Source organism: Homo sapiens, chromosome 4 (assembly GCF_000001405.40).
Source record: "Homo sapiens chromosome 4, GRCh38.p14 Primary Assembly".
Taxonomy (NCBI): Eukaryota; Metazoa; Chordata; class Mammalia; order Primates; family Hominidae; genus Homo; species Homo sapiens.
The window spans coordinates 60,410,098-60,428,466 of record NC_000004.12 but is presented as its reverse complement, the minus strand read 5'-3'; the positions used below and the strand labels follow the sequence as shown (position 1 = coordinate 60,428,466).

General features: G+C 36.3%; 1 annotated feature.

Annotated features, from left to right (window-relative positions):
• Positions 5,464–5,964: an enhancer, noted in NCBI's record as "H3K4me1 hESC enhancer chr4:61288221-61288721 (GRCh37/hg19 assembly coordinates)". NCBI's record gives its function as "activates a minimal SCP1, AML or CMV promoter by ChIP-STARR-seq in naive H9 embryonic stem cells {active_cell/tissue: H9 hESC(naive)}" and the evidence as "EXISTENCE:reporter gene assay evidence [ECO:0000049][PMID:30033119]".

Genomic DNA, 18,369 nt, shown 5'->3' with positions numbered 1-18,369 from the left:
TATTTTTTTTTCCAAAAAAGTCTCAGGATAATTCATCTTGTTAATAAACAAGGGGAATGTTTAAGTTTTGATTAGGTCTATATTAAGCCCACATATTAATATAGACATGACACTATTAACATCGTTTAGAAATTGAACAATGTATTATAAGATAGCTTACATTAAAAATATAAAGTTTGTTTATGATTTTGGTTTTATTTCTATTTTGATTTTGTCATTGCTTGCAAGTGAATAAATGTTAGGATTTTTCATCTTGAATTTTGTAGGACTCTGGAAGTAAACTTTCATTCTGAAAAAGCACATAATAAATTAATTTGCTAAAAAAAGGTATAAAAAGCACTTAATTTTTTGTTAAAGTGCAAATAGAGGAAACAATGAGGAATTCAAATTAATGCCTGTAATATAATTAATTTGAGTCAACTCTTAAGTTGACTCTTAAGATGAGTAAGTTGGAAATGGTCATATCAAGAAATTCTTATATTAATCTAAAAGTAAACATTGGTTTTGACCACCTACCAAAGGAAAGCTGTAATTCAAATATGAATATATTTATCTATACTAATGTGTTCATGATGTGCTGGTATTTTGGAATAATTGGGTATCACACATTCTTTTTCCTCTAAGATATCAAAAAATGTTTAAAAAATTTAAAAAGTATTCTAAGTATAACAAATGCAGATTTTTTAAGCAATGTAGGCTTTTGAATATTTGTTTTTATGTAAACATTTCACATTAGGAAGAAGAATTTTAAATTTTAATTATTTAACATTTTGTAAAACTGTGATAATTAATCTGTACTCTACTCTGTAACTCGTCGTACCCACAGGTTGCATTTGTGAGAGGATTGGCTGAATGCATAGACTATGGTTGTAGAATGGAGTCTTTCCTTTGAAATAAAAAGAACGATGTATTTGTTAAACAATATCTAGTCTCCAGTAATATCATGCTGTTCCCATTTGTGTACAGAAAACTAAGAACAGGAACAAGTAATTACCTTCCTCTTATCTACAACAGACTGAATGAAAAACAGGGGACCAAGAAATATGAGTATTATCTCTCTTAGGTGCTTTCCTAAATATAACAGAAAGGAGCTTATAGTAATTATCTCTTCTGTTTATTTAGCTTGACAAGTCATGAGAATTAAGAGTCAAGACAAGCCATGGAAATTAGGAGTCAAGACAAATGATGAGAATCAGGAGTCTAAAGGTCAAACTTGCATCACAACAAAAACAAGTCTAATTTTTCTTTATTTCATTTTTCAATACTTGTTTTTTTTTTCCATTTGAATTGCTCAATACCCGTAATGATTTCCCATTTCTTTAAGAACAATCCAGTATCCTTAACATCGAATGTGAAGTAGTAAATTATCTGACCCCTGATTATATCTATGGTCTTACTTACATCAAGACTCCAAATCCATGTACTTCTGGATGTTCCTTCCCTTTGCTCCAACTTCCCATTCTTCAACCTCCACGCTAAACAATCTTTGCCTGAGAAACACCTGTTTACCTTTTATGGTCTTGTATTCAACACCACTCCCTCTTGCAGGACTTCTCTAAACCTCCAGGCCATGTTAGATGCCCTCATATAGCAACACATCATTCTGTACCATGAACTATCCAATAATGTCAACAGTCAAGTTCAAACAGTTTGAACCATGTAGTAAAATAGAATAGACAGACTGTACTATTGTGACATTCATAAAATTATCAATTAATGCCATGATATTCTGGAAATAAACCCAATTACTAGATTGCATAGTATCCTATCTTAGCACAGGGATTTTTCTTTTATTTTTTCTTTTCCTTCTTGTCCAGGAAACTCCAAGTTGTTTTAGCCCAAACACCTTGTTTAGCCAGTCTCTTCATTTCTAACCAAACCAAGTAAAACAGACTCTTGAGATATAGAATCTACTTATGTTCCTATTTATTTATTTCTTCAGAGGTCTTGCTACATTGCCTAGACTGGAGTGCAATGGGTGTTCATAGCCAATATCATGGCATACTATGGCCTTGAACTCCTGGCCTCAAAGAATCCTCAATCTTCAGCTTCTTGAGTAGCTGAGATTACTTCTTTTCCTATGCCGAGCATTTTAAATTATCAAATGAAAGAATAAACAGCTAAGTCTTTACATTTATTTAACCTCACCAAGTCTAAAGTTAAATAAGAAAAGTGAGTAAGCAAAACATTCAGGTCTGAATGATTATGAAGGCTCACTAAAATAATTCTTCCTGAACACGAAGGGTCTAGCCACAGGACAGATTTCTGCACCTAGTTCTCTAAAGCCACAGGAAGCAAATTCCTGCTTTCAGGCTCTAAAAGCTTAAAAATATTGATAAATGCTTTCAGAGAATATTGCTATATACATCAAATAAAATAACTAACAGAAATTAGAAATATTGGTCCAACCTATCCCCAACCTATCATCATTTTATTATATAGCCCCTTCCAACATTTTACTATATAAAAAGTCAAATTGGCAAGCTATTTTGTTAGACAACAGCTCTTTTATCACTTCTTTTGCAGGAGAAATTGCATTTATGATTATGTATTCATGTCTAGATTCTCCACTACGATGTAAGTTCCAGGAAGCTGTACTCTGTGTATGTTTTCAATATAGCTCTCTTCCATAACATACCAGAGAATGGTGATATAAGTGCTCAACGAGTATCTGTGACTGAATGAGTGAGATATATTAGAAAATATGTGCATAGAGTGAAAACATGTTTACGATACTATAATGCTACAAGTTGTTTTCCCTAATGTCTTCATGTGATGACATTCCTTTTCTTGTATTACAGATATTCTCTTACAAGGAAACTCTTCATTTTGAAAATATTTTCCAGTTGACACTTCTTTTGCAAGCATGAGTTACACCTCAAAAGAAATATGAATTCATCAATGAAAGAAACTCTACGTTACCAAACTTTTTTTCCATTTCTTAACTAGAGTCTGGCATAAATTATGCCCTCAATAAATATTTGCTAAATATTTATTTGTATAAAATCTTAAAATAAGTTAAATAAAAGCATATTCAGAGGATGTGTTGTTTCTGGTTATGAATTGAGAAATAATTTTTGTCTATTTATGTATTATTACTCTGCAATAATCAAGCATAAAAAAGGATATTGCGTTTCACTTTTTAGTACTTTATGTATATAAACTAATTTATACTCTCATTGTTTAATAAGTACTTGCAATTTTCTAAATGTATTACTTATGTGCTTTAAATAACATTAATTTCAATGTAGAGGGAATTTGCTTGCCTATAATGCATTTTTCCCAATATAGAATGAAATGTATTTTGTCACAAGGAAAATATGTGGTTTGAGGCTGACAATCATACAGAGTGCAAATGTATTTGTGGTGGATCATGAAATATAAGCTTCACACACTGGTTATTTCAGAAAAATCGGGAGTCAGCCAAATACTTTAGACCATAACTTTATGAAGAAGCAAATATTATATGACTTTTGTTTGCCTTTGAACTGAAATAATCACCTGTAATACTTTCTACCAAAGAGATATGAAGTGGAAAACTAATTGATAAAGTAGATTAAAGACAATTTCTGAGGCCATTTTATGTGTTTTGATTAGCAGGTTAGCAATTTCAGTTAAAATAAAATACCTATATAGGAACAGAGAAGTAAATTCAGAATAAAATAATTCCCAGCATAGCCTTTCTTTTGGGTGATTTTTCTCTCTCTAATATGCCTTTATAGTAAAATCCCATTAGATTATTTTATTAAATATAATATCATTTTAGTGGATGCCTGTGCAAGTACAATGTAGTTATTACTACCTGATAATATAAATTAAAAGCATAAACCTTTTCACAATTCATGTTAACTAATGATGTTACACAGTACACTTAATTTTACTGCAAAGTAAAAATGGGATTTTCTTATACAAAGAAACATTGCTGCCTTTCCTGCAAGAGAACATGTGGTGGAAAATAATTAATCCTTTGGACTGAATATCTCCATGTATTTAGTAATAGAAGATTTGGGTCTTGAAACAATATAAATAAAGCATCAATACTCATGGGCTTAGTCCCCACTTGCCAGGCAATTTCTTTCTACACTGAGTAAAACTTAGCCCATATTTATTAATGCAACCTTGGAAAAATTTGGATCAGATTAAGACAACATGCAAACTTAGAAGGAAATGATCATGTTAGATCATGACTTTCTGTTGTGATCTGGGGAAAGTGGAGAGGTGACATTTAACCTGAGATGGTGACTAAGCTACTCAAATGAATGATCAATGAAGGGAAATGTGGACAACATCTGAGGTACTTCTTTAAGAAATTAAAATCAATAAAAAATATTGGAATTGAATGTTGTAATGCCTATGGTATTTGCTCTTGAGTTAGAAACATAACAAAAATGTTTACATGCTTTATATTTCTCAGTTAAATTATATGTTGATAGTGTAAAGAAAATATATTTACCTATTTACTAGAAACTACAATACTAGTTTTTGACAAAGTTGAATTTAAGACAATTTTCACTAAATGCACTTAAAAGGTAACCATCCTTCCTTCTTTCCTCCCTCCCTCCCTCCCTTCCTTCCTTCCTCCCTCCCTCCCTCCCTCCCTTCCTCCCTCCCTCCCTCCCTTCCTCCCTTCCTTCCTTCCTCCCTCCCTCCCTTCCTCCCTCCCTCCCTCCCTCCCTCCCTTCCTCCCTCCCTTCCTTCCTCCCTCCCTCCCTCCCTTCCTCCCTCCCTCCCTCCCTCCCTCCCTTCCTCCCTCCCTCCCTCCCTCCCTCCCTCCCTTCCTCCCTCCCTCCCTCCCTTCCTTCCTCCCTCCCTCCCTCCCTTCCTTCCTTCCTTCCTTCTTTCCTCCCTCCCTCCCTCCCTCCCTCCCTCCCTCCCTCCCTTCCTTCCTTCCTTCCTCCCTCCCTCCCTCCCTCCCTTCCTTCCTTCCTTCCTTCCTTCCTTCCTTCCTTCTTCCCTTCCTTTTTTCCTCCCTTCCTTCCTTGCAGTGAATCCATATGTATCTGCAGCAAACTCAATTCTTGTCTCCTCAGAAGAAATAATTTGACTAAGGGCAATAAGGCACAAGGAGAGACTGAGGCAAGTTTTAAAGCAGGAGTGAAAGTTTATTACAAGTTTTTAAAGAAGAAACAAAAGGCAGGAAAGTACACATGGAACAGGCCCAAGTGGGCAACTTGAGAGACAAGTGCATGATTTGACCTTTCGACTTGGGATTTTATATGTTGACTTACTTCCGGGGTCTTGTGTCCCTTCACCCCTGATTTTTCTCTTGGGGTGGCCTGTCCACATGCACAGTTACCTGCTAGCCCTTGGGAGGTGAGCATGTGCTGTGTATTTACTGGAGTTGTATGAATGCTCACTTGAGGCATTCTTCCCTTACCAGTAGTATGTCCCAAGAAGGTCATATACTGGTTAAACTCTGCCATTTTGCCTCTTAAAGCACATTTGTGAGCCCACTTGCCCAAATCCTGAGATCTTATCAGGAAGTCACTGATCACCAGCTTCAGGTGTTTCTGTTTATTGGGAAACTGCCTTTCCCTGCAACTGGCTGCAGCCAATTACTATTTTAGAGAGACAGTTAACTGCTTGAACATCACCTGATGGTGTCCTGACGTTCCTGGTGCATGTGTATGGAGGCGGGGGGCGGGGTGCATGTAGGGGGAGCCTTCTCCTGCCCTGCTCATGTCTGACTAGCTACCTATGGTAACACTTCCTTCCTTCCTTTTTTTCAGCAAACACTTACTACACATTAAGCAGGGTCTTCTTTGCTGAGGATAAATCTATGGGTAAGTCATCTCAGAGGCTATTTGTCATGCTGTGCACAGCCCAGCTCATGAATCCCAATCCTTTCTTATGCACAGGGAATTCTGAGTCATTCTATTTAAGATGAGGCGTGGTATGAAACAGGTGTAACTACCACCAAGGAACCTGGAAAAATCAACTACTTGCACTTCCAGATTATTCCATGCTCACATAAACAGCAACTTGAGGGATAAGTTAGCTGCAAAATCCTGGATTTGAATCGGAGCCAGGGAAAGAAAGGCTCCAGGAACTTCATACTCAGTGTTGTCAGCAATTCCCTGTTTTCTGGTTTAGGGGTGGATGTGGTATCCTTCAGTGTTCTGTGTTTCAAATGAATAGCAGAGGTGTCTAACTGGACTGCTTCTGTGGTGTAAGTTTGCTGTACTTCCGGATGTTCTCCCTTTCCTCCTCTCCCCTCCCCTCTTTTGTCCTCCCCTTCCTATTCTTCTTTCTTCCCTCCTCTTGCTTTTAAGGACCACTGATTCTTAAGATTTTGTAACAGTTCTTGGAGATATTCAGTATGCTTTGAATAAAATAACTTCCTGTTTTAATTTTCTTTTGCTTGCAACTAAATCTGCCAGCAGTACAGTTCTGGCCCTTTTAGAAGTCACTATATAGAAGGCTAAGTTAGCCAGAAGCCTTGAGAAACTAATGCAATTATTACAAATGTCCTATTTTCAATGTAAACAACAATAAGGATGAAATCTAATGTGTGGGCTATATAGGCTAAATGTGTGGCTTGAGTTGGTTATTGTGTACTGGTACTTGGCCAAAAGCAATACACTCTATGTACCAGAGTAATCAAGACAAGAGTGGCACTTTAACTATGGTTTGAAATATACATAGAATTTTGCTCTGTGGAATCTGAAAGTATATAACCAAGAAACTTCTAGGATAACTCTAGTATTGTCGGGGAAAGGGCACACGGATTCTTTATGAGGAGCAGAACATAGGAAAACACCCTATTTATGAGGAGAAAACATAGGAAAACAAGAGAAAAGAAAAGAAAAAGTACTAGAGAAATTTGAATATTCTGGTAACTCTAGACACAACAAACTTTAAACAAAGCCAAAATTCTAGCTATGTTAACATAAATTCTCACATTAAAGACTCATTTATCTCAGCTTCCATTACCTGATGCAACATGTCTGGCTTCCAGCAAAATATTGTAAGACATTCTTAAGGGCAAGACATAACAAAGCATCAGAGTTAGACTAAGACACGACACAGATATTGAAATTATCTGACAGAAATTATAAAATAATTATATATGTTAAGAATTTTAACAATAAAGGTAAAGAATATACAAGAACAGATGGTAATATTAGTAGAGAAATGGAAATGCTAAGAAAAAAATAAAAAATAAAATACTAAAAATCAAAAACACTGTAACCAAAAGAAATGTCTTTAATGAGTTCATTGGCAGACCGTACACAGCAGGCTATATGAAATATCAGTGGTCTTGAATATAGGTGAATAGAAACTTTGCCAACTGAAGTTGTTTAGAGAAAAAAATCATCTAATATTTGTGAGATAATATCAGAATATATAATATATGTGTATGTGTAATACTAAAAAGAAGTAGAACAAAGTAGAAGAAATACTTGAAGTAATAATGCCAGAGAATTTTCCAAAATTAATGACAGACACCAAACCATCCATCTGGGAAGCTCAGAGAACACCAGCAGGATAAATACCAAAAAGCACACCTAGACATGTCATATTCAAACTGCAGGAAATCAAAGAAAAAGAAAATACTGAAGAAAGCCAAAGTGGAGATGAATATAAATAACTTAATTATAGTAAATGAGGATAACAATTACAGTAGACTTTTCATATAAACCACCAAAGCAAGAAGAGATTGGAGAGACATCTTTGAAGTGTTGGTGGAAAAATATTACCAACCAAGAACTCTACATTTGGTAAATTATCCTTCAAAATGAAGGGAAAGTAAATAATCTCATGGACAAAAATGGAGGGAATTAACAATTAACTTCCAGCAGATATATTCTGCAACAAATGTTATAGATTATTCAGACAGAAAAAATAAAAGATTTGGGCAAGAAACCCTACTTCTTAAGTGTTAGCAGCACATAGTGACTCTCTCCCTCAGAAGAGTAAAGTATGAAACAGGAAAAAATAGTTACTTTACAATAAAGAACCCTGACAATCACTGCCACTGTCAAATAATCAAGGTTTTCATCCACACTGATCAATTTGGTAGTAGGTACTTTTGATATAACGTGATGAGAATGGCACTGTATCTCTGCTATACCTACCTCCCATTGACTAACTCACCCAATCTAAGCATTAGAAAAATGTAAATAAACCCCAACTGGCAATATTCTATAAAATACCTAAATGTATCTCAAAATTGTCAAGGTCATCAAAACAAGGAAATTCTGATAAGCTGTCACAGTTTAGAACTTTCTAGATAAACATGTTGACAAAGGATATACAACTACTAAATGAAATGTAGTATTTCATTCATACCACATTCCATGGGTGGAATTCTTAGAACATAAAAATATTAGTATGTATCATTCTAATATAAAATATTCACATTATGGGAAAGTTGGTATAGGATATTTGGGATTTCTGCATCATCTTTGGTATTTTTCTGTAAATCTAAAGCAATTCTCAAAATAAAACATTTATTTAAACAAAGTAAAGCAAAAGCAAACAAACACACACAAAAAAGCAATTCCAGTGGCTTTGCAAGTATTATGCTGTGAAAATTTATACCATTATTTTTGGATTTGGAGCTGCTTCATATTCCTCACTCTAGATAGGATAAAGTTACTATTTTCTTGAATATTATTTGAAGGAGAGTGGCAAGATGGCCAAACAGGAATAGCTCCCGTCTGCAGCTCCCAGCAAGACCAATGCAGATGGTGGGTGATTTCTGCATTTCCAACTGAGGTACCTGGCTCATCTCATTGGGACTGATTAGACAGTGGGTGCAGCCCACGGAGGGCCAGCAGAAGCAGAGCGAGGTGTTGCTTCACCCAGGAAGTGCAAGGGGTCTGGGAACTCCCTGCCCTAGCCTAGGGAAGCCATCAGGGACTGTGCTGTGAGGGATGGTGCTATCCAGCCCAGATACTATACTTTTCCGATGGTTTTTGCAACCCACAGACCAGGAGATTCTTCCGGGTGCCCACACCACCAGGGCCCTGAGTTTCAAGCTGGCAGACAGTTTGAGGAAAACTGGTCAGCCATTTGGGCAGACACCAAGCTAGATGCAGAAGTTTTTTTTTTCTTACCCCAGTGGCACCTGAAATGCCAGCAAGACAGAACTGTTCACTGCCCTGGAAAGGGGGCTGAAGTCAGGGAGCCAAGTGGTGTTCCTCAGCGGATCCCACCCCTATGTAACCCAGCAAGAAAAGATCCACTGGCTTGAAATTCTCGCTGCCAGCATAGCAGTTTGAAGTCAATCTGGGATGCTCCTGATTGGAGGGGGGAGGGGCATCAACCATTACTGAGGCTAGAGTGGGCGGTTTTCCCCTCACAGTGTAAACAAAGCTGCTGGGAAGTTTGAACTAGGTGGAACCCACAACAACACTGCAAAGCCACTGTAGTCACACTGCCTCTCCAGATTCCTCCTCTCTGGTCAGGGCATCTCTGATAAAAAGGCAGCAGCCCCAGTCAGGGGCTTATAGATAAAACTCCCATCTCCCTGGGACAGAGCACCTGGGGGAAGAGGTGGCTGTTGACAAAGCTTCAGCAGGCTTAAATGTTCCTTCCTGATGGCTCTGAAGAAAGCAGCAGATCTCCCAGCACAGTACTCGAGCTTTGCTAAGGGAGAGACTGCCTTCTGAAGTGGGTCCCTGAACCCCATGCCTTCTGACTGGGAGACACCTGCCAGCAGGGTTGACAGACAACTCATACAAGAGAGATCCAACTGGCCTCTGGCAGGTGCCCCTCTGGGCTTCCAGAAGAAAGAGCAGGCAGCAGTCTTTGCTATTCTGCAGCCTCCACTGGTGATACACAGGAAAACAGGGTATGGAGTGTACCTCAAGCAAACTCCAACAGACCTGCAAAGAGGGGCTTGACTGTTAGAAGGAGAACTAACAAACAGAAAGGAATAACCTCAACATCAACAAAAAGGATGCCCATGCAAAAACCCCATCCAAAGGTCATCAGAATCAAAGATCAAAAACAGATAAATCTACGAAGATGAGAAAAAACAATGCAAAAATGCCAGAAATTCCAAAAAACAGAATGCCTCTTCTTCTCCAGAGGATCACGACTCCTTGCCAGCAAGGGAACAAAACTGAACAGAGAATGAATTTTATGAATTGACAGAAGTAGGCTTCAGAAGGTGAGTAATAACAAACTCCTCCAAGTTAAGGAGTATGTTCTAACCCAATGCAAGGAAGCTAAGAACCTTGATAAAAGGTTACAGGAACTGCTAACTAGAATAACCAGTTTAGACAAAAACATGAATGACCTGATGGATCTGAAAAACACAGCACAAGAACTTCATGAAACATATACAAGCACAATAGCTGAATCGATCAAGCAGAAGAAAGGATATCAGAGATTGAAGATCAACTTATTGAATAAACTGTGAAGACAAGATTAGAGGGGAAAAAAAGGAATAAACAAAGCCTCCAAAAAATATGGGACTATGTGAAAAGACGAAATCTATGATTGATTGGTGTACCTGAAAGTGACGGGAAGATTGGAACAAAGTTGGAAAACACACTCCAGGATATTATCCAGGAGAACATCCCCAACCTAGCAAGACAGGGCAACATTAAAATTCAAGTAGTACAGAGAACACCACTAAGGTACTTCTTGAGAAGAGCAGCCCCAGGACACATAATCCTCATATTCACCAAGGTTTAAATGAAGAAAATAATTTGAAGGGCAACAAGAGAGAAAGGTCAGGTTATCAACAAAGGGAAGCCAATCAGAATAACAGCAGATCTCTCTGCAGAAACCCTACAAGTCAGTAGAGAGTAGGGACCAATATTCAACATTCTTAAAGAAAATTATTTTCAAACCAGAATTTCATATTTAGCCAAACTAAGCGTCATATGCAAAGGAGAAATAAAATCCTTTACAGACAGGCAAATGTTGAGGGATTTTGTCACCACCAGGCCTGCCTTACAAGCACTCCTGAAGGAAACAATAAAGATGGAAAGGAAAAATCTATACCAGCCACTGCAAAAAAATCCCAACATGTAAAGACCATCAACACTATGAAGAAACTGCATCAACTAATTGTGCAAAATAACCAGCTAGCATCATAATGGCAGGATAAAATTCACACATACAATATTAATATTAAACGTAAATGGGCTAATTGCCCCAATTAAAAGACACAGATTGAGAAATTGGATAAAGAGTCAAAACCCATCAGTGCGTTGTATTCACGAGACCCACGTCACGTGCAAAGACACACCTAGGCTCAAAATAAAGGGATGGAGGAATATTTACCAAGCAAACGGAAAGAAAAAAAAAAGAGTTGCAATCCTAGTATCTGATAAAACAGACTCAAAAAAGACAAAGAAGGGCATTACATAATGGTAAAGGGATCAATGCAACAAGAAGACCTAACTATCCTAAATATATATGCATCCAATAGAGGAGCACCCAGATTCATAAAGCAAGTTCTTAGAGACCTACAAAGAGACTTAGACTCCCACACAATAATAGTGGGAGACTTTAACACCCCACTGTCAACATTAGACAGATCAAGAAGACAGAAAATTAACAAGGATATTCAGGACTTGAACTCAACTCTGGACCAAGCAGACCTAATAGACATCTACAGAACTCTCCACCCCAAATCAACAGAATAGACATACTTCTCAGCACCACATATAACTTATTCTAAAATTGACCACATAATTGGAAGTAAAACACTCCTCAGCAAATGCAAAAGAATGGAAATCATAACGGACAGTCTCTTAGACCACAGTGCAATCAAATTAAAACTCAGGATTAAGGAACTCACTCAAAACTACACAACTACATGGAAACTGAACAACCTGCTCCTAAATGACTCCTGGGTAAATAACGAAATGAAGGCAGAAATAACTAAGTTCTTTGAAACCAATAAGAACAAAGACACAATGTACCAGAATCTCTGGGAGACAGCTAAAGCAGTGTTAAAGGGAAATTTATAGCACTAAATACCCACATGAGAAAGTGGGAAAGATCTAAAATCAACACACTCACATCACAATGAAAAGAACTAGAGAAGCAAGAGCAAATAAATTCAAAAGCTAGCAGAAGACAAGAAATAATTAAGGTCAGAACAGAACTGAAGGAGATAGAGACACGAAAAACCCTTCAAAAAAAATCAGTGAATCCAGGAGATGGTTTTTTAAAAAGATTATCAAAATAGACAGACAGCTTAGCGAGACTAATAAGGAAGAAAAGAGAGAAAAATCAAATAGACACAATAAAAAATGATAAAGGAAATATCACCACTGTTCCCACAGAAATACAAACTACCCTCAGAGAATACTATAAACACGTCTATACAAATAAACTAGAAAATCTAGAATAAATGAATAAATTCCTGGACACATACACCCTCCCAAGACTAAACCAGGAAGAAGTTGAATCCCTGAATAGACCAATAACAAGTTCTGAAATTGAGGCAGTAATTAAAAGCCTACCTACCAAAAAATGCCCAGGACCAGACAGATTCACAGCTGAATTCTAACAGAGGTACAAAGAGGAACTGGTACCATTCCTTCTGAAACTATTGCAAACAATAGAAAAAGAGGGACTCCTCCCTAACTCATTTTATGAGGCCAGCATCATCCTGATAGCAAAACCTGGCAGAGACACAACAAAAAAAGGAAATTTCAGGTCAATATCTCTGATGAACATTGATGCGAAAATCCTCAATCAAATACTGGCAAACCGAATCCAGCAGCACATCAAATGGCTTATCCACCACAATCAAGTAGGCTTCATCCCTGGGATGCAAGGCTGGTTCAACATAAGCAAATCAACAAACGTAATCCATCACATAAACAGAACCAATGACAAAAACCATATGATTAGCTCAATAGATGTATAAAAGGCCTTCAATAAAATTCAGCACCCCTTCATGCTAAAAAAACACTCAATAAATGAGGGATAGATGGAACTTATCTCAAAGTAATAAGAGCTATTTATGAGAAACCCACAGCCAATATCATACTGAATGGGAAAAAGCTGGAAGAATTCCCTTTGAAAACCAGCATAAGACAAGGATGCCCTGTCTCACCACTTGTATTCAATATAGTATTGGAAGTTCTGGCCAGGGAAACTAGGCAAGAGAAAGAAATAAAGGGTATTCAAATAAGAAGAGAGGAAGTAAAATTGTCTCTGTTTGCAGATGACATAATTGTATATTTAGAAAACCCCATCGTCTCAGCCCAAAAGCTCCTTAAGCTTATAAGCACCTTCAGCAAAGTCTCAGGATACAAAATCAATGTGCAAAAATAATAAACATTCCTATACACAATAATAGACAGAGAGCCAAATCATGAGTGATCTCTTGTTCAGAATTGCTACAAAGAGAATAAAATACCTAGGGATAAAACTTACAAGAGATGTGAAGGACTTCTTCAAGGAGAACTACAAAACACTGCTCAAGGAAATAAGAGAGGACACAAACAAATGGAAAAACATTCCATGCTCATGGATTGGCAGAATCAATATCATGAAAATGGCCATACTGCCCAAAGTAATTTATATATTCAATGCTATTTCCATCAAGCTACCAATGACTTTCTTCACAGAATTATTAAAAAAAACTACTTTAAATTTGATATGGAACCAAAATGAGCCCATATAGCTAAGACAATCCTAAGCAAAAAGAACAAAGCTGGAAGGATCACATTACCTGACTTCAAACTATACTACAAGTCTACAGTAACCAAAACAGCATGGTACTGGTACCAAAACAGATATATAGACCAATGGAACAGAACCAAGACCTCAGAAATAACACCACACATCTACAACCCTCTGATCTTCAACAAACCTGACAAAAACAAGTAATTGGAAAAGGATTCCCTATTTAATAAATGGTGTTGGGAAAACTGGCTAGCCATATGCAGAAAACTGAAACTGGACCACTTCCTTACATTTTATACAAAAATTAACTCAAGATGTATTAAAGACTTTAATGTAAGGCATAAAACCATAAAAACCCTAGAAGTAAACCTAGGCAATATCATTCAGGACATAGGCATGGGCAAGGACTTCATGACTAAAACACCAAAACCAATGGCAAAAAAGTCAAAATTGACAAATGGGATCTAATTAAACTAAAGAGCTTCTGCACAGCAAAAGAAACTATCATCAGAGTGAACAGGAAACCCACAGAATGAGACAAAATTTTTGCAATCTATCCATCTGACAAAGGGCTAATATCCAGAATCTACAAGAAACTTAAAGAAGTTTATAGGAAAAAAAAAAAAACATCAAAAAGTGGGTGAAGGATATGAACAGAAACTTCTCAAAAGGAGAAATTTATGCATCCAAGAAACATAAAAAAAAAGTTCATCAGTACTGGTCATTAGAGAAATGCAAATCAAAACCAAAATGAGATGCCATCTCATGCCAGTTAGAATGGCAATCATTAAAAAGTCAGGAAACAACTGATGCTGGAGAAAATGTGGAGAAATGGGAATGCTTTTACACTGTTGGTGGGAGTGTAAATTAGTTCAGCCATTGTGGAAGACAGTGTGGCGATTCCTCAAGGATCTAGAACCAGAAATACCGTTTGACCCAGCAATCTCATTAATGTCTATGTACCCAAAGGATTATAAATCATTCTACTATAAAGACTCATGCACATGTATGCTTATTGCAGTACTATTTCCAATAGTAAGCACTTGGAACCAATCCAAATGCTCATCAGTGATAAACTGGATAAAGAATATGTGCCACATACACACCATGGAATACTATGCAGCCATATAAAAGAATGAGTTCACATCCTTTGTAGGGATATGGATGAAACTGGAATCCATCATTCTCAGCAAACTATACTGGAACTGAAAACCAAACGTCGCATGTTCTCACTCATAAGTTGGGTTGAAAAATGAGAACACATGGACAAAGGGAGGGGACTATCACACACTGGGGCCTGTTGTGAGGTGGAGGGCAATGGGAGGAATAGCTCTAGGAGAAATATCTAATATAGATTGTAAGTTGATGGGTGCAGTAAACCACCATGGCACATGTATACCTATGTAACAAACCCGCACGTTCTGCACATGTATCCCAGAACTTAAAATATAATGAAAGAAAGAAAATAATGAAATCTTTACTTTTTTAAGCATAATTCAGTATCTCAATTTTAATCTAGTATTATAGACACAGAATTGAAAATAAAAGTAACGTTGAGTTTTTTTAATACAAAATAATGGAAATAATTATAGGAGACAGTGACATTATCTTATTGGAAATAATGTAAAATAATTCATGCACTAACAATCTTTGCTTTTAAGTTTTTTAGAAAAGTTGACAGCAGTTGTTCTTCTATGAATCTTAAAAAATGGATAAGCTTGTTTAGCATCTTTCTGAAGGATTTACACATGTTTTAATTTGTATGAGTTAGTTTTAATTTAGAGAGTTCTACACAATTGCTGAAATACCAGAACCAGATTTTAAGATGAGGAGATAAAGTATCTTGCTTATGTTCATCTGGAGGGCTTTTTTCCTGAGCAAGATAGGGGGCTAATTTGTTCCCTTGATTAGAAAACCTGTCTTAGGTTTCATTCATATGTCAGCCAGCTGACTTTGCTACATAAACTGAGCAAAGGCTACTCTTGTGATATTCATCGACAGGATATTTTTAAGACTGGACTCCCAAGGTCTTGCTGTTAATCCTTCCAACTTTTCAGGGAGTACTACAATTTACAGATGAAGAGACATTGAAAGACTAGGTGATGTGCCAGAGGATGCAATGCAGTCTGAATTAGGGGTAGGATAGGTTTGTATTGAAGCTCAGTTCTTTATCTTCATGTATATTCCCTCCCCACATCTTAGAACCTGGTCCAGTGTGTGCGTTTCTTATGCAATGTACTGGAAGTAACATTGTTATGGGATAGGTCATATCTCCCTCTACCCCAAAGATGAATCGAAGTCCTAACCCTCAGTACCTTAGAATGTGACCTTTTATAAAAATACTGTTCTTAAAGGTGTAATCAATTTAAAATGAGGTCTTTAGAGTAGGCCCTAAACCCAATAATGACAGTTTCCTTTTAAAAATCGAAAATTTGGACACAGACACAGATATACACAGGAGGAAGATGATAAGGGCTGCAGGGAGAATGTCATGTGCAGATGGAGGCAGAGATGGGAGTTATGCTGCTATAAGCTGAGAAACACTAAGGATCCATGGCCACCACCAGAAGCTCAGAAGAGGCAAAGGAGGATCTTCTCTACAGGCTTCAGAAGGAGCATGGCCCTGCCAACACCTAGATTTCAGACTTTAGCTTCGTAGAACTGAGAGACAATAAATTTATGTTATATTAAGCCTCTCAGTTTTGGGTATTTTTTTATAGTAGCATGACAAAATTTTTACAAAAAACAAAACAAAATTTGGGTTACACTAAATATTCCCATACTGTTTTACGATAATTTCACCTTTCTATTTCACTTGCTATATTTTGCTACAGAATGAATGCAAGAATTTTATCAAATTTTCCTCCAACTCATCCAGGTTCTATTCACAGATTTTTTTCATGCTATCATTCTTCTACAAATTGATTACTTCTCCAGACAATTGTAAGGAGCATTCATCTTTTCCTATTATTTCAGATGTTTCCAAGCCTTAAAGAGAACAGCACTTGTCTTTTTTTTAGAAATCGAACTCTCACTTGATTCCTCCATATTAGTAATTTTTTAAAAAATAATTTATTGTCCCATCATTGTAGATCCTGCTTCAAATTCCTCACATATTTCTATACCCTGCCATATATTGGCAAGGCTTGAGTTAAAGAATTGAATAGAAGTACCTATGAATTCACAGAACAAAGTGGATGTTATTTTACTTCTTCACCATGTGGGTGTGCATGCACGCACCTGAGTACATGTGCATGTTTTTGTTTCCATGTGAGTGTATATGCACAAATATGTATCCTTCTGATTCTCTTTTAATTCAATTTATTAATAACATTAAATTGAATTATCTAAGCATACACAACTAGGGAAAGTAGCACAAAGGTATGTTGAGGGCCCGAAATCAGCCTGGCTCTGCATATTTGCTGTGGAAAATTTACATACAAATATTTCAAAGTTAAGCCTGATAAATTTCTTTCTTTATTACACTAAATGATAGGTCAGTTGACATAAACATTTAATGCGCTTTTAAAAATGAACTATTCTTGCTGTCTTCCAAAAGAAGCAGGAGGAATGCAAAAGAAAGTACTTTACCTCCAAAATTTAATCAGACAATATAATACAATAGCTTACTTCATAATTTGTTATAATAAATATAAGAAGTGCATTATAAGATTTATGATTTATGTAACAAAATTAATTGTTCATTTCACTGGCATACATATTCCTGACTTTAAATCCTATTTTACATTTTATGTAAATATCTTCTGCTATAACATTTTCTAAAAGTCATATCATTTGTATTTAAGTTCACATAATTCCTTAAGATCCTAACTGACAGTGGCTAAAGGAATTGCTAAATATAAGTCACTTCTACAGCTTCTTCAGTTAAGGCCATTTAAAAAGAAAATATATCATCATAGCAAAAGCATTCTATTATGTTCTATCAAAGCCAGTTGATGTAATTTTCATTTTAACAACACAAAATACACTTACATGTGAATCTTTTATCCTCTAATAAACATAATTTGGTACTTGTGCTGTGCTTCCCTCTAATTGCAACCTTATCTTTTATGCTAAAGACAACCTCAAACTATGGGTAAGAAGAGGAATTTTTTTTCTTTCATGAAAAGGCTTAATTATATAGTCTCACAATTGTCCTTGTTGCTTAGTATTTGCCTTCCTTTCAAAACACAATACGCCAATTCATCAAGTAATCATTCTACCTGCTTTTTTATCTCTAATTTCTCATATTCATCTGAAAGCTTTAAAAATAATTATTTTATAATGCATCTACATTTGTCTTACTTTCAATTAAGATGGTTCATTTCTAAATGCTTTCAGTCCTAACCTCTACCATTAGCAAATATGCAACTTCCAAAAGACATGAAAGCTTTTATAAGATCAAAATATGGAAATCCTTAGATCAGAGGATTAGGAATGAAATCTATACCCTTTATCTGACAGTTACTGGTTTGAATTGGACCAACTATTTCCAGATTTGTATATATGGATTACACAGTCTATGAATACCAAACTTTTTTTCTTTTTATCTTTTTCCTTTATCTGACTTTTTAGTGAAAGTCAGATAAAGGAGATACAATATATGATAGCTCATCTTTTAAAACCATTACAAACAAATTAAACCTCTTTTATTATAATTGCTAGCATTTGATACTGCAGCATTTGCAATAATTCTGAATTCTTGTGTCTGAGTTTTTCCACCAAGGAGAATGGGCTTTGAATTATAAAATATTTTCCTGG